Source organism: Homo sapiens, chromosome 10, assembly GCF_000001405.40.
Source record: "Homo sapiens chromosome 10, GRCh38.p14 Primary Assembly".
In the NCBI taxonomy this organism is placed as follows: Eukaryota; Metazoa; Chordata; class Mammalia; order Primates; family Hominidae; genus Homo; species Homo sapiens.
The window spans coordinates 112,612,898-112,631,245 of record NC_000010.11 but is presented as its reverse complement, the minus strand read 5'-3'; the positions used below and the strand labels follow the sequence as shown (position 1 = coordinate 112,631,245).

Sequence of the window (18,348 nt, the reverse complement as noted above, 5' to 3'; positions counted from 1 at the left end):
ATAAGGTTTAAAAATTAATATTCTTTACTCTATACTACGCTCTTATCAGCTTGAGCTCCCCAGTGTAGTTGAGAGTAGCATAGCAGTGTCATGTTTTCATACTGCTTTTTTTTTTTGAGACAGAGTTTCGCTCTTGTTGCCCAGGCTGGAGTGCAATGGCGCGATCTCGGCTCACTGCAACCTCCACCTCCCGGCTCCCGGGTTCAAGCGATTCTCCTGTCTCAGCCTCCCAGGTAGCTGGGATTACAGGTGCATGCCACCATGCCTGGCTAATTTTTGTATTTTTAGTAGAGACGGGGTTTCATCATATTGGTCAGGCTGGTCTTGAACTCCTGACCTCAGGTGATCCGCCCCCCTCAGCCTCCCAAAGTGCTGGGATTACAGGCATGAGCCACCGCACTTGGCTGCCTTCTTATATTGTTACATATATTACCTTTTGTTTTCTGGTTATTGAGTAAGGAGGTGGATACCATAAACCAGTGAATAAAATTTTGTGAGGCTTGATTGCAGGCTGAAAAAGACATTTCAGCGATGTTGAATGGGGTATAGTGGTTTTCTCTCCATTAGCTCTACAAGCTACTATCTGTCTTGTGCAGAATAGAAATGTCAGGGCATTAGAATCAAGTGAATAGAGGTTCAAATCCTGACTCCACCACTTAATACTATACAGTTATAGCCAATTATTCAAATTTTCTGAGCTTCCATTTCTTTATGTGAAACATGGAGTACTAATACCTACAACACAGGGTCATTGGGGGAATTAATTGCAATGATATAGGTAAATATCTAGAACAAAACCTGATTCCATACTAGAAAATAAAACCAAGTTCTAGCACCCCCAAGTGTAATATTTTCCTGGAGAGCATACCTAAAATTTCCTCAGAGGGCTGGAGGGGTGACCCAACCCAGGCTAGGGATTTTCTTTCTGAAGCTGAGGACACATTTGGCTCCAGGAAAGAATTTCAGAGTGAGGATTTTCTTTGTTCTGTGACTCCATAGGATGCTCTGCTGTCCTGTGCAGATCAGAAAGTGGGAGTGTTGGGCAGAATATATTATGCATATGCATGTGTTTACAAAATAACAACTTCTCTAGAAAGGAACCCCTAATAATCAAGTCTGTCAGAAGAAAGAGTCTCTGGAACCTTCATCTTTTGATCAATTGGGAACGAAGTGGGCATTTCGAGAAAAAAACAAACACCTTTAGGCACAATTAATGTGTTTCTTTAACATACTAGAGTCCCTCTCAACTCTACTCTCAGTTTTAATACTATAAAACCATATTTTTTTTAAATACTGAAAAATCATCTTCGTTTAAAAAAATCCAGTAGTCACAAAGTTGTCCACTGTACTCCACAGAAAGACTTATGAATGGCATATGGCATGTTTAGGAGATTTGGCTCATATGAGGCTGGAAGCACAGTGGATTTATGTGCATCAAAACCCTCAAATTGACTGAGGAATTATCCAGTTAAAACAAACAAGCAAACTTACTAACTGCAGTCACTTGAAACTTAGCAAGCTTAGCTCAATACTGCTTAAGCCACTTTTGAGAACTGGAGAGCAAGTTAAAAATGTTTAATTACTAAACTGCTGCTGTATAGCCTCATTTTAAAATAACTTCTGCGTTAAATAAGCATTCATTCCTAAATCACAGCATGTTTCACACTCGTTCCTCAAAGGTCATGCAGGAGTCTGGAGACAAGAAGCCCCTTCCTAAGGGAAGCCTAACTGGAAAAAAGGTCCTGTTTTTAAAAGATTCTGTTTCTTCTTAATTCCAATGTGGGGGAAATCCCAGATAAGCCTCCAGTTAAAAGCCAACTATCCTCCTAACAGCTGTGCGGTGATGAAACAGGGAATGGGAAGAATGACGGCGATAGGAGGAATAGTGTAGGAGGAAAATCTCTTTTTCTGTGAAAATCCAAAGCAACCCCTTCAGGGCCTGGTCATAAGGAAGAGTAGGATAGAAGAACTTTCTGGTGCCCTGTCCCTAAGGAGGAATGTGATGCATGGGTTCAGATGCTCCAGAGTGCTATCCTGAGGCAGGCTCTGCCTGCAGCCATGATGACAGCGCTGGACAAGTGTCTGAGGCCTCTGAGTGTCCCAGTAACATCACCTGTTACCCCAGAAGCCATTCACTTGGCAAACAACCTGCAAGGCACCTGTCTATTCAACTGACAACATGGAGAGGGTCTGCTAGGTTGTTCATGATTAAGTGAGTAACCAGTAATAGAAAGATGATAAGAGAGGTAATGGGTCTATTTTAAGTGTGGGTTATGAGATGTCTGGTGTATCAAAGAGAGTCAATGAACCCAAAATTAAAAATTTCATCTAAAAAACTCATACTTTAAATGTAGACACACGTGTATGCATTAAAAAAACACTGCGAGGATATACACCAAAATACTAACAGTGGTTATCTCTGGGAGATAAGGTTTTCTGTATTTATAATTATAATATTTTAAAAGACTTTAAATAAGAAAATCTTACATTTAAAAGATAAAATATAGTTTAGATCAAATACTTTTGGATAAAGAAAACCGTAAAGCAGCAACACTGAAGATTAAATGGATGATCCAATACTAGGAGAACAGACATTATAAAAATAAACAAACTCAAACTGGATGCAATCCTGTAAATGAGAACCAGTGCCAGGGCAGTTGGTTGAACAACTATTAAACCATGGAAATCTGTAAAATATGGTCTTTTATGATAAAAACTTGATTTAGGATTCTTTGATGGCCCAATTTTAAAATTAAACATGATTAAATAAATCTTACCTCTATCTATACATAAAATGATTATTATACATGTTTGCATCCCAAGGTCCTGGTTCCTTTATTCTTGTATAGGTGACTCTGTTTTTCACTGATAGAATTCAAATACTTACAATAACCTCGTTTTGCAACAGAACAATAATATTAATCCTATAATACCTAAACACCTAAACATAAAGATTCCAGTCCATAAGATTTCATTGCAGCATTGTTTATAAATATAAAATATAAACAAAAAATGTCCAGCAACATGTGAATGATTACATTATGATACAGACACATTATGGAATACTAAGCAGTCACTAGGAAATAATTTAGATCTATCTATACAGACCTTGGAGGTGTGTACATAAATTAGAGTTGGCTAGAAAAATTAAGGTACAGGACAGTATATGTAATAGAATTTTATTTTTTAAAAAGAAAAACGTGTGGTTTTGCATACGTAGTCTAGAAGACCTTGGCGTCCACTTCTCCAACACACGCGCGGGGCTCATTTTCTCATGTGACTCTGTTCTCTGCCTAAATATCCCTCAGAGTCTTGCCCTGACCATCATAGGTCAAGTAGAACCCCCTGGAATTATCTATCCTTTTATCCTACTTTATTTTACTTTATATTATATATCATTACCACATTTTATATCACATTTTTATTGATATATTGCCTGTCTCACTATTATAATGTTGAGTTAATGAGAACAGGGATCTCATCAGTTTGGTCACTGTTGTTATCTCAGCACCAGGTCCTGTTACATAGTAGATGCTTCGATATTTGTTGAATAAATAATCTCATTATAAATGTAAATATGAATATATGCACATGTATGTGTGCATATATATTGACACATATAAACGTACTTAGATACAGACAAAACATACGAATACATAGGGGAGAAACCCTCAAAGCTTAAATACCTACTATGAATAGTGGTTATATTTGAGTAGTTAGAGTGGGAGAGATAGATGGGTAGGGGTAAAGGGGACGATCCTTTTATTTTTTTATATACTTCTATCTTATTTAAATAATTTGTAATAAAGATGAATTAAGGTATGATAAAACATTTTAAAAACTGTCATATAAGGACTAGGGTTTGCTGAACCTATATAACTACTTTAAAAATATGTCTGGTGATAACATTTAGGTATCTCTAGTTTTCAACTGGACTGATCAATGGAAGGTATTTTCATCAATGATAATTTCAATCTCCTTACTTTAGGTGGTCATTCTCAACTATGCATGCACCTGTCCAGTTTGTTAAAAATAGAATCCCAAGGTCTATCCCCAGAGATTCTGAATAGGGTTGGGTAGGAGGAATTTTTATTTTTTAAAAATCATCCAAGATTATTCAAAGCTCATCATTTAAGAGCTCATCTTGAGATAGAGCTGAGACAGGGAAGACTGAATCAACATATATTTAATGAGGATCAATTATCTGCCAGGCAACTGTGGATAATAAACATTAGATAAGTTTAATTAATTGGCTATTAGTGGACGAATATTTCAGCAAGCTGTGTTTGCAATTAATTTTTAAGTGGTTAAACACTATACCAGTCTGAACAGAACAAAATATCTTGGAAGTGAAAAGTTATGATGCAGGCTTTGTGGCTGCATTTGTGTGAATTTAAAAATAATATTACATTTAATAAAATTATTAGATTAAGCCTTTACCCATTTTAACTGGAAGATGGCAAATGCAGGCTATCTGAAAACAAAGTCATCCCCAATGTACCTGAAGAGCAGTGGACTACCAGCTGGAAAACCCTGGCTCTATCTCCTTTTGACCAACACATATGGTCCTTCACTAGGACTGAGTTTTCTCCTTTGTAAGCGGCTAGAGTTGGTTTTAAGATCACTTCTGGTCTGTATTTCTTTTTTCTTTCTTTCTTTTTTTTTTGCAAATACTTGTTAGGAGTTATTTTACTAAGCACTTTTAGGGACACAAAGAAGATTAAGATGTAGTCCTTGTCCTCAGCAACAGAAAAAGATTATAATTTCATTAGTACAGATTAATTCTATAAATCAATGGATAAATATACTGTAACTTTATGAATGTTGATTATATATCTCAAATTCAATTTGCCTAATAAACAGAAAAAAATCTTGTTTTCAAAGGCAGAAATGCTTGGATTTTTGAAGATGTAGATTAAAAAAAATAAAGATATAGCCACATGAAGAAGCTGAGCAGTTGCCCCAAAATTCATAATTGTTTTTGATTTCATGGTCTTAAAATCTCAGATTTCTACTGTTATGTGACCTCCGGAAGGGGGCTTTTACCTCTCTGTGCTTCAGCCACATCATCTGAAAAAGGAAGGTTTTGTGTGGAGCCAAGCTGTTGATTCAAACTGATTCTAGAACTGAATGATGCGTCCACATAACTACTGCGAAATCATTACAAAAAAAAAGGATGCAGTTTCCAAATGTACTTTGTTTCTTCTTCCTGACATTTTCTTGGGGAAAACGGAAAGATTAGAATAGACAAAACAGTAATAAAAATTTGTTGATCTACCACTTTGTGCAGCTACTGCTGAAGTGCTTTACGTGACTTATTAGAGATTTATTTTAGTACTGTCTTTGTTTTTTAATTTTTTATTTCTGTAGTGTTTGGTTACCTGAGTAAGTTCCTTAGTGGTGATTTGTGAGATTTTGGTGCACCCATCACCTGAGCAGTATATGCTGTACCCAATTTGTAGTCTTTTATCTCTCATCCCCTTCCCACCCTTTCCCCCTAAGTCCCCAAAGTCCATTGCGTCATTCTTATGCCTCTGCATCCTCACAGCCTAGCTCCTACTTATGAGTGAGAAGATATGATGTTTGGTTTTCCTTTTTTTTTTTTGAGACAGAGTTTCACTCTTGTTGCCCAGACTGGAGTGCAGTGGTGCGATCTCAGCTCACTGCAACCTCTGCCTCCCAGGTTCAAGCAATTCTCCTGCCTCAGCCTCCCAAGTAACTGGGATTACAGGCATGTGCCGCCATGCCCGGCTAATTTTTTGTATTTTTAGTAGAGATGGGGTTTCACCATGTTGGCCAGGCTGGTTTTTTACTCCTGACCTCAGGTGATCCACCTGCCTCGGCCTCCCAAAGTGCTGGGATTACAGGCGTGAAGCCGCCGCGCCCGGCCTGGTTTTCCATTCCTGAGTTACCTCACTTAGAATAATAGTCTCCAATCCCATCCAGGTCACTAGCTCTTCCTTTGCATATACCTGATGCTTCTGATAATCGTGCTTCCATATGTAATGGCTGCTGCTGTGCTTTCAGCAGTCTTTTACACTCAAACACATAAACACACAAACATAGGCGTAGCCACAAAGGTTACCCCCCAAGTTAAACATATGTATTCAGCGCTTACTTTATTACAAAATACTTTTTTTATTTTTTTGAGACAGTGCCACACTCTGGCACTCAGGCTGGAGTACAGTGGCATGATCATGGCTCACTGCAGTCTCAACCTTTTGGGCTCAAGTGATCCTCCTGCCTCAGCCTCTTGAGTAGCTAGGACTATAGGTGTGTGCCACTGTGCCTGGCTAATTTTTTAAATATTTTGTAGAGATGGGGTCTCACTATGTTGCTCAGGCTGGTCTCGAACTCCCAGCCTCAAGTGATTCTCCTGTCTTGACCTCCCAAAATGCTGACATCACAGGCCTGCGCTACCATGCCCGGCCCTTAATCTACCCATTACAATAAACAATTCCAATTATTCAAGTGAAGAATAATCTTGTGATTATTTGGCAGAAAACATATCGGAAACTGCCAAACTGCTGATTCACAGACTTAAAACAGCAATAACAACAACAGCAGCAAACTGCTGATAAAAGGTTATGAGGTTTGAGCCATTTTAAGTACCCTACGTGTCTTCGATTTTTATCTTTCTGTTATACTCGTATTTCACTTATAAGCATTTATCCTAATAAGAACTTTTTTTAAAAAAAACATAAAAATGAAAATGTATATTAAAAAACCTTCCCAGGTATCCTAGGAGTCTTATAATCATTTATCCTAATAAGAACCATTTTAAAAATAAGACATAAAAAATGAAAATGTATATTAAAAAGCCCTCCCAGGTATCCTAGAAGTCTCTAGGTAATAGGAACCACTAGCAAATACATCACTACCACAAAGATTTCAAAATAACATCTTGAGAACAAGGAGACACAATGGCTCATTTCATACTTTTTTTTCCCCCTTCACATTTCATTCTAGACTAATCATGGGGCTCAAACTGCCCTGCTGCCAGAATAATCCATATTCCATTTAGTATTGCTGATGATGGAAAGAAAGGAAATGAAAGAAATGGGATGCCTCTAGAGGACGACAAAGAAAAAGATCACAAGGACAGTGACTGCTAATTAGCAACATATTATAAATATGGGTAAATGCACTAGTCTTTCAACTCCTGAGCCCCTAAGTTCATATCTTAGACGGAAGTGAAAATGTGTTTGTCAGTCCCATGCTGGTCTCTTTTCTTGAAAGATGATGGACAACTGGGAGCCGAGGCTGAAGGCCCTTGCAAATAGATCTGCTGCTACAATAGGTTTCACAGCTTGGCAGCAGAGGCTGCTTCTGACCAGTGCAGTTCTCTCCTCCCTAAGTAACCTGTTTATAATCAGTTCTTAAAATCTTAAAACAATCTGTTCCTTTAGCAGAGGCAATTTTCCCCCTTTCCCTGCACAGTGCCGAGGTTGTTAATCAGAAGCTGGAAACCCTCGCAGTATTTTTTTCTAGCCCCTCCTGAAGCACTGAAGATTTTGTCCAAGTCAGAGGAATCCTATAGGAATGGATTATAAAACACCTCCAGGCTTGGGTAGTAAGTCCCAGTGCCTTTTGGGAAGCAGGATTCGATTATAGCCCCAATCTCTTGTTCTAAGACCTGTTGGGGAGAATGTGCCCCTGGCCACACAGTAGCCAACCCTGTAGCTGTTTCGGATCGTGACGGGATCCAAAGAGAGTTCTCAGCCAGCAGGCTGAGGATAATGGCTGAGATATCAAGTGGTCCAAAGGAAAGAAAAGATTCAGAGAGTTCTGGCAAAAAAAAAAAAAAAAGGTTATTTTAATACTGTTTAGAAGAAAGAAAAATATATCTACGTATATATACATACACACATGCCCTGACTTTTTGGGGCTACTCTAATAAAATGGGAACATGGTGTTTTCAGCCTTCTCTTAAAAGCCTCTAGCCTGTCTCTTTCCTGCTGGATTTACAATGTTAAAAAGCAAAATCCCAGAAACCTATTTCTGTTTACTTAAGAAGGATAAAGTGTTACCCCAAAACAGAGGGGCCTTTTATAGAGATTGGAAAACAAATGGTTTAAGAGCATTAAGATCTACATATCTCTCATGCCAGCACATTTAAAGTCATCAATCAAACATAATCCTGAACATACGAGGTGCAAAAGTGCTAAAAAGGCCCCATTAAAATCCGAGCCTTTTCAGGTGTACCACCCAATCCTGAGCATTATACACAAGGCAGAAACAGCTCTAGTTTATACACACAATACCATTAGGGACAATTTATCATGTCTTTAAAAGTGATATATAGCACATTGTGAAATTGCTTACTAACTCCAAAAATAACAAACCCAGCTTGTCTAAATGCACTGGAATACTCATAATTGGAATTTTGAAAACTTAAGTAACAGCCTATTCTTATTTACATAGCTTCAACTTTCTACCAATCTACTTCCTAACTTGTACTTCAGATTTTTAAATTCGCATTTTTAAACCAATACTGGAAAGTATAGCTATTTGGACAAAAAATTTTCAAGATGTTTGAAAGAAGTTTGCTACACCAAATGCTTAAAAGAATAAAGGAGATTATATGAACACACTGACTCTGGGTAAAAATCTAAATTATAGGAATTGATGATTTTTATCTTTCAAATCTTATTTTCTTTTGAAACATGGCCAGTCTGCACTTATTTCCTGGTTTTCCCTTAATCCATTATAAAGAAATACGTATGTGACTCTTTCTAGTCCTGGCTCTTCTACCCAATCCCATTACACCTCTTCTTTTTTTTTTTTTTTAGGTACTTTTTGTTTTATAAATATAAAATTTTATACATAAAAATAGCACTCTTGGTCTGCATTAAAATCTACCAAAGCCAAAGTTAAACATTTTAGCATCAGTAAAAGGCAGAGGAAGCTCAAAACCAGCGACAGACCTTGCTTCAGCTGGGTGTGTCTAGTGCCAATTAATGTTAAAACCTGCAAAAACAACTATATTCTGACACCCCTTTCAGGGGCACAGGGACCGGTTTGCAGTTTGGCTTTTAGGTATATCGACTGGCTTATGGCATGTTGTTGATACATTTCTGTGCTCACATTTTGATGGGATAACTCTATGTTTCTCTATCAGAGGATTACCTGCCTACATACAGAAAACAGAGCCTTAAGTGTTTCTTGGCAAGCTGACCCTGCAGCATGATTAGAACCAGAGTTAAAATAAGCACCCCAACTCTCTCTCTCTCTCTGTCTCCTTCTTCTCTCTCTCGACTCCCACAACTGAGGAATACTCTCATTTAGTAAAGAAGCACCCGGTGATACTACGGAGCCAAGGACGGTGGACAGATGCTGCAACTACTAAGAGTACCTTGCATATAAGGAGCGTATAGCGTGGAAAATGGAGACGAGTGTGCAAAAAAAGCATAATGTTCCCAGGGACTCTGGAGTAGTCAGTGCCACATGGAACAGCACATGTCATGAAAGGTGTTACACAGTGGACAATTAAGGATTTCGTGCTACATGCTATGACTGGAAAAGCCAAGGTAGAAGTACATTTATAAAGGACTTCTAGAGACAGGGTCCAGAGAAGGATGGGACACGCTGGTGCTCACTGAAATGATACACATGAATCTAAGAGGTAGTACAGTGTGGTGGAATGGTTCCCAGATTAGGAGAATTTAGGTACAAATTTTTGCTCTTTTCTTGGCTTGTGAACTTGGAAGAGTCACTTAACCTTAAGTTCTCATTTGAGTAATGGGGACAATAATGTGTACCTGATAAGGATGGTATGGGGACTATGAAAAACTTACATAAAGCATATATAAAAACTATGAAGTGTACCTAAGTCCAACATTTCCCCCCATCTTGTTTCGTGGGATGATAAGATGTACAGGGTCTGTGACCAAATACATTGAGAAACTCTTTGGTATAAAAAGTAAAAAAGGAATGTTACTTCTTAGAACCATTAATATGCTAATGTGTAATCTCTACAAGACAGGAGTGCAGTACGCAGCCTTGCACACAGACACTTGGCCATGAAGTCATCTTTTGGTGGAACGCCTCCTTCTGCAGCGAAACACACTTTAGGAAACAACGCTGTAAGTCCTTACATGTAGCTATCTGCTTAGAGTTTACAAGTTAATATTGGAACAGATGGCAATTATTGAAAACTACCAAAACAAGAAGATGGAAAAGAACAGGCAATTTTTCAACAGATTTCATATGGATGGAATTCTCCATCTATAGAACAGAGAAAATCCAAAATGCCCTATGTAAAATCAAGTCCTAGCCTATAATCAAAGGCTCTGCCAATAGTCCCGGTCTGGAATGCCGCATTGCTCACCTAACACCAATTCTAAGGCACTTCATGCCTCTGGACACTCACTTTTGCTAAGTATCTCTGAATTCTCCTATCTCTTGGCCATGGTTCAAAATTTCTTTTTTCTTTTCTTTTCTTTTTTTTTTTTTGAGATGGAGTTTCGGTCTTATTGCCCAGGCTGGAGTGCAATGGCATGATCTCAGTTCACTGCAACCTCTGCCTCCTGGGTTCAAGCGATTCTCCTGCCTCAGCCTCCCAAGTAGCTGAGATTACAGGCGCCCACCACCATGCCCAGCTTATTTTTGTATTTTAGTAGAGACGGGGTTTCACCTTGTTGGTCAGGCTGGTCTCGAACTCCTGACTTCAGGTCATCCACCCGCCTCGGCCTCCCAAAGTTTTGGGATTACAGACGTGAGCCACCGCGCCCAGCCAGTTCAAAATTTCTAGTTAAAAACTGGCCCCCGCCACAAGTCCTACCAGTTCTCCCCACTTGAATCTGTTTCTTCCTCTCTTATAGGCCTATAAGTAGTTTCCACCTCTGTTGTAGCTGTCAGACTCATAAGCAAGCCTTTCCCAGAGCCATTCTTTCCGCTAAACTGTGTACATCCCTCCAGAGCAGGCAGTGTGTCTTTCCTCTTCATAGATCCACAGTGCCTAGTACAATGTATTGCACATAAATAAAGAATAAATGCTTGTTGGATCAAATAGCTTCAATGATCAGTAACAATAATACCCCAAAGAGATTTACGGTCCAACAATAAGATGCAAATTCTACTAAAGTCCAATAATAATTAAGTGAAAGGAACAACACACACTGTTAATATTACACAAAGTTACTTACCAGGCTTAAAAACATAGTGTGCTTTTACCTGTCACCAGGATTTCCAGACTGTTGCCAGAAATACTTTAGAGGAGAGTTTTAAAAGCCCTGGGAGAACCAGATTGTTGCTGAACAATTTCAAAGTTAAAAATACAACCCAGGGGTCGAGACCTTCCCGAACCACATGGACAGCCATGTTCTCCATGCTGGACACCCTTTCAATTATGTCCTCCCCTAGGTGGTGTCTCCTTCCCTTCCACCTCTAACTTCCATCCTCCCTTCCTGATCCCACTACATATGTACTTGTTGGCAAGCAAATCAGTTCCACTGTCAAGGAAAAAGGCAAGAAAGATCCATGTACATTTTATCCCAAGCCTCACTCCAAGGAAGGAAGTTAATTAAAGTCTCATCTAGCAGACATTCCTCCCCCAGCTGTGTCTAGTCACGAGGAGAATGACGATTGTGTGCATCTGGGCAAAACATTAAAGAGGAAAGTTCTGCAAAAATTAGGTATGGTTTGGAAATAAGAAATAAACATAGTCTACATATTTTGCAGAAACAACATTAAAGAAGCCCCAGGCCAGCCCTGTCGCTTGGGGGCCTCCCAGGTGGAGGCAGCAAATAGTTCAAAGAGGAGCTGTTGGAGTATCAGTCTAGCTCCTAAAATGAGACTGTAAGATCCTTGAGCACAAGGGCCCACATTTTCTCCATCTCTGGGATGTGTTCCCCACCCAGACCTCCAGGTGAACGTGCTTACCCAGACCTCCAGATGAACGTGCTTACAGGTACCTGGGTTAGAGGAACTGTCTTCATTATCATGTCTGTCTTATTTCCACATTTTTATTCCCATTAAGCCCCCTTTCCACTGTTTCTCCCAAATAACTGTTTTCCAAATGCAATGGATTGGCTCGGACCACGCATATACTTATCCCTTCAATCATGAAGTCAGCTGGAAAAAAAAATACCTGCTAGTTTACTTCAACATGACATTACCAATATGACAATTTTCTGAACACACTGCACAACATATATTAGTTCCTTAAAAAAAAAAAAAAACTGTGTTTACTAATGTGCCAGGCACGATTCCAGAAGATGTATTTATTTTTTGTTGGAGATTCTCCCAGACATCATCTTGTTATCTGACAGCTAATTAATAATTGGTTGATTGTCATGATAGGCTGTGTGAACAAAACTCACTTCTGTAATTTCAATGTATTTCCTCTACCCTATCCTTCCAACCTCACCTCCTCTTAGCCAGTCAAGCTGAACTACCCCTTAATCAACCATTGTGTTTTTGCATCTCCCTGCTGTTCACCTTGGATGTCCTAATAATATTCAATAATTAGATATCTGCCTAATGGAGGCAGACGCCAAAATGTATATATAGCAACACTTTGGCCTAATGTCCTCCCTATCTATGGTATGCATGTTCTAACTATACCAATATTTTAAGGTCAGGCTCAAAAGTCATCTACCTCACAAAGTCTCTTCTGACAACCCTTCCTCCTTCCCCTAGGCCAAACATTATTGCTCCTTCTTAACAGCCCGTTGATATTACCTTTTGACATTTACTCTCTCTCTCTCTCTCTCTCTCTATATATATATATATATATATATATATATATATATAATATAATCATTTGTATATTTCATTATCCCAACCTATCAGGCTCTAAGATCTTGGAATGCTGGGGTCGTTACTTCTCTCATGCCTTTTAGCTTTGCACCTAAGGATGATGATGATGATGATGTTGATGAGGTAGGGGCTAATTTTTATTGAGAGTTTTACTGTGGACTTGGCACACTGTTAAATGCTACTTATCTCATTTCATTTTCACCATTCTATTAAGTACTACTATTATTGCCATATTGTAGATGAGAAACAGGCTCAGAGAAATTAACTGGCTCAAGTTCACAGCTGTTAAGTAGAAGAGTTCAGTCTTGTATTTTATTTATTTATTTTTTTGAGATGGAGTCTCACTCTGTTGCTCAAGCTGGAGTACAATGGCACCATCTCAGCTCACTGCAACCTCCGCCTCCCGGGTTCAAGTGATTCTCCTGCTTCAGCCTCCCAAGTAGCTGGGATTACAGGCAGGTGCCACCACACCGGGCTAATTTTTATATTTTTAGTAGAGACAGGGTTTCAGCATGTTGGCCAGGCTGGTCTCGAACCGCTGACCTCGGTAATCCAGCCACCTCGGCCTCCCAAAGTGCTGGGATTACAGGAGTGAGCCGCTGTGCCCGGCCACTTTGTATATCTTTTATTATATTCATTCCCAGGCATCTTCTACTTTGTAGTTGTAAATGGCACCTTTAATTTGTTTCCTTTTTTTGGCTTTTAAATAGAAATACAAGTGATTTTTGTAAAGTTTTTTGTTTTTAGTCTTATTTTTATTCTTTAAATAAGAATATTTGAAATTTTACCATGCATATGCAACAAAGTCCAAAGTTTATGAATATTTTTACACCTGTCCTGAAAATACAAGGCCCTTAGAATACTTGAACTCTGATCACTCACCTCCTAACTTCCAATAACAAAGCAAAATAGTCAGAAGGAGTTAGTTCTTTTATTTAAAATGAACTCTCCTTCCAAATTAGATATTGTTATTATTATTTTTAATCTAAATTTAAATGTAAATCTTATAATTTTTTTAGATTTAGTAATTTCTCATTCAGTTTTCATTTTTATATCTTCTATCTTCCTTCTGGAGTCATTTTCCTCCATTCTGAAGTACTTCTTTTAAAAAACCCCTTTAGTAAAAATCTACAGATGGCAATCTCCTAGTTTTTATTTATCTAAAAATGTTGTCTTGCTCTTGTTATTGAAAGACACAATGTTGAGAAGACAATTCTAGGGTGGCAGTTATTTTCCCTTAAAACTTGGAATACTATTTACTGTCTTGTGGCTTCAATTCTTGTTGAGATGCCTACTTTCAATCTAATTTGCCATCTGTTTATAGGTGATGTGTCTTTTATCTCTGACTGCTTTTATTTCTCATTGGCTTTGGTGTTCTGTAGTTTCACTATAACGTGTCTAGATGTGAAACTCTGTATTTATTTTGCTTGGTCTGTGTTGTGTCTCTGTGGATTTATGTCTTTTGGCAGACTTGGAAAATTCTCAGATATTATCTTTTCAAATTATTGCTCCTCTAACTTGTCATTCTGGAAGTCTAATTTGATGTCTTTTTGGTATGCTTTTTGTATCCTACATGTCTCAACACCTCTCTTGTGTGCTCCATTTTATTTTCTCTCTCTGTTGCATTCTGCAAAATTTCTTCAGATATATTTTCCAATTCACTAATTGTCTCTTCAGCTTTCTCAGATCTGCTTTTAAATCCATTCCTCCAGATTTTAATTTCAAAAAGTTCTGTATGGTTCCTTATGGCCATTTTAATAGTCTTATATTGCTTGATCATTTAAAAGTTCCACTTTAGTTTTCTGTATATATTATATACAATTCTTATTTTTATTCTACATTGATAATGACAGAATCTGAAAACCTTGTGAAGTAAAAATGTGTTATTTGCTGTTTGAGTTGACTCTCATTTATGGTCATTTTTTTTTCTTTGTATGTTTGGTAAATCTTTTTAATAAGCTCATATTTTGTTGAACTGAATGTATAGGAATCCAGAGAGCCTAATTTAGGGATGCTTTCCTCCAGAAGAAAATTTGTTTATTTTTTTCTGGAAGCCAGTAGGCATGATTTACCTAGGACTATTTTAACCCTCTTCAAGTGTACTGGCTAAATAGAAGAGTTTCGAATTTAGCTATCCCATTGTGTGTGAGTGTGTGCACATGTACATGTGTGTACAAATATATATGTGGGCATATATGCAAATGTGCATGTACTCCTGCATTTTAGATTCCTGATTGCAGTGCTGGTGGTTAAATTTGGTCCCTGAACATCTTGGGCTTTCTTGTACACTTATAAATCACTGCTCTCTATTCTCATTTCAACCCACTGCTTCTCTCTTTCTCTTTTTGGGGATTTTCCTTATTTTCTTAATAATCCTTCAATGCATTAAATAATATGTTTAAACTTTTATCTAATATCCAGTAATATCAGATCACTAATTTCCAACAGCCTCCTAGGTTGAGAACTTTGATGCTTAATCCTCTCATTTTGCAGGTGGAAAATGTCTGCCTCAGATACAGGCAAAATCCAAATATGGCCCATGAAGAGGCTAAATATGATTTAGCTCTCATCTCTGCCTCTAGGCACATTCCTAGCACACTCTACCTTACTCCCTGTGCACCTCACTGTCTCAGTGTGCCATACTCCTTCCTGTCCTAGGGCCTTTGCTTTGGCTCTTTCTTCTGCTTAGTGGGCTATTCCCATCTCCCACCCTTCCCCATGCCCTTTGCCTACTTAATTCTTACTTATCTTTCAGATCACATTTTAAATGTCATTTATTTAGGGAAGTTTCCCAGACTCCCTCAGACGAAGATCAAGATCCCCTATTACACACTTTAACAGCCCTTTGGACTTTCCATCAATCCAATTAATATGGCTTAAAATTTATATATTTTAATGTCTATTTCCATTATTAGGCTGTAAAGCCCATGAGGGCCAGGGAGGTCTATTTTGTTCACCACCAACTCACCTGTACCTAACAAGTGTCTGCCACGTAATAGGGCCTCAAAAATATGTGTTAAATAAACAACTTCATTGTTGTGACTCATCCAAACAAAAAGAGATGTGTTCTCTAGAAAAAGTTAAAGTGAAGACTCCCTTGACAATATCCATCAGGACCTGAGATGTAAAAGAACTATTCCTAAATACTAATTTATATCACTTTTCTGCTGCCATCTGTTTTCCAGATGGAAATCTCTCCATCTATAGTATCTCAGAAAAACCTTGCCCTTGCTAAACTACTGTGACAGTTTATTCTTGCAAATAATTTTTCCTTTAAGATGTTCAATAACTTCACATTTAATGCTAATATATATCTTCCAGAAAGTCAATATCATGGACTGCCACAGTCTTATTGGAAATCCTTAACCCATTGCCAATACAAATGTTAGATACTTATGGATTTTTAGGTTTTTTTTCAGCTAATAATTTCAACAATGATCCATTTGCCACATATTTGGGAAATCTGAATTCCATTATCTGTGTACTCCATCCCTTTCCTTGGATTGATCCATCAATATGATTCTATTTAAAAGCTACTTTCCTATGCTGGTGGTGTGCTTATGAAAAAAGAAAAAAAAATAACGGCACATTTTGTGTCCCTATTCTCATCTGTGAAACTGACCTTGCTTTCTGCTGAGAGCCTTGCTGTCACAGATCTCACAAGATTTTCAGTGTTGTAATTTCTTTCATAACTGTGCCTTGTGACCAGTATCTGACAATAGCCTCTTGGATTAACCTGATTTCACAAACTCACCAGGCCCATAAAATCTAACCTGACTTCACAACTGACCAGGCCCATAAAATCTCCACAAGTCCTTCAAGATGCCCAACTGTCTCAGTGTCTACCTGTCCATTAAAATATACAGGAGCTCTCTTGGATAATGTATAGTTATCTAGGTACAGAAAACAAACCCCCTTCAAAGCTTCTTCTTTTATTTTTTTGGAGAATCCCCTTTTAAAGATAATTTCTTATAAGAGACTAAGTTGGTGAGCCAACCACCAGGCATGATGAAGCCATGGGCGGTCTCTTTCTTTTTCCCATAAACTTATGGTAAGCCACAAAAGAGTGAACCAAATATTAACCGCTGCTGTCTACACTTTCTCCCCCTCAAGTGTAGTAAGGTCTCATTCTATTCTTAAAAAAATAAAAGCGCCACCTTAGGTGACAAGGGCATGAGTAAACAACACGTTGTGAAGAAGTACTTCAACATTTGATAATGCCAGATGCCTGATGCTCTTGTACCCTCACAAGGCCTAAAGAAAAATTGCTTCTTAAGACTCAAGACCACGCATGGCACAGGTACAAATGAGGGTTACCTGTAATTCCCTTCTTTAACTAACGAACTCAGGGGTTAACTGAGCACATTTCCATGAGTACAATCAACTTACTGGAACCTATGTGCATTACTTCCTCTAAAACCCACTTCTCTTTGTAAAAAATTGAAAAAAATATGAACATATTTTCACCATATGAAACATGGATTTCTAGAGACTGCTGAATGGGAAAAATGGACGAAAAAAAAGGAACAGCAAGAACAAAAAAATGGTTAACAGGAGGCTGATGTGTTTCCCAAGCACAGCAATATGAGCTTAATTGAGGCTGACGCATGACAGACTCGCATGTACAGTATCGCCCAAGCTCCGACTGAAGCTGCTGACAGAGGGTAAATGGTGCACGGCAGCAGGGCTTGCCCTGGCCTGGCATGGCAACGAAGTGCACTGAGCCTGTCAGGAGATAGCATGAGGGCTAATGAAGGGCAGCCCTTGTTTTTAAAATTCTTCTCACTTAGTTTTGGATCAGACTCTACACCATGAAGCCTTCTCAACCTTTTAGTGCTCAGTTAAGGATATGTGACACTTATTTAAAAATTAATGCATTCTAATCAATTTAAAGTTAGGCAGTGAAGAGTCTGCAAAAGAGGGGATACAAAAAGAGCAAAAGGCAGAAGGAGAAGAGAAAAAAAGAGGCCGAGAGAGAATGAGCTCTACAGAGAGGGGAGAAGGTGAAAGGCATAAGAAATACAGCATAGGAAGTACCTCAGTGTTTTTAGACATCTTTGTATAAATAATTTTGTAAAGATAGCCATACCAACATAAGAAGTGGGGGGAAACGAAACATATTCTTTACATATTCTTCCAATAGGATAAAAATTCTAGGAGCCAAAGTGTGAAAAGACAAACGCAGCAAAAGAAAAATGTTAACCTTCACGAAAGATGCACAATTGTAACTTTTTAAAAAGACCAACTTTTTTTTCAGCAACTAAAAGACTATTATTAAATAGTATATTGAATGGTATAAAATAGTATATCCCGTTATTAAAACGTCCTCTTCATCTCCCCATTCGGCAAAGTCTTCCAAAATGACTGGAAATGTGTACTGAATATATGCTTTATTAGAAAGAGTAATATTTATTCACTCTGTTGAATAAGTATTAACATTGAGAAAATTAGTATCATTTTTAAAAAAACAGCCATTATCTATAAACCAGAAAGAAGAAAATGGTCTGTTTCCTACCTCACAGCCACATTTGTAAAATATTCAGGTTATATGCAAAATAAATGGCAAACATTGAGAAGTGACTAGGT

General features: G+C 38.1%; 1 protein-coding gene and 1 long non-coding RNA gene across 9 annotated transcripts in view; both read right to left on the bottom strand.

Moving 5' to 3' along the window:
* Positions 1–18,348, bottom strand: part of VTI1A (vesicle transport through interaction with t-SNAREs 1A) — a 408,381-nt gene that overhangs the window by 224,123 nt on the left and 165,910 nt on the right. The window lies entirely within an intron of this gene.
* The window catches only part of LOC124902503 (uncharacterized), a 44,104-nt gene that overhangs the window by 10,819 nt on the left and 14,937 nt on the right, over positions 1–18,348 (bottom strand). Inside the window, exon 1 of the long non-coding RNA XR_007062292.1 lies at positions 869–18,348. This exon is cut by the window's right edge and continues 14,937 nt beyond it. This is a non-coding gene — a long non-coding RNA (uncharacterized LOC124902503). The remainder of the gene's footprint in view (positions 1–868) is intronic.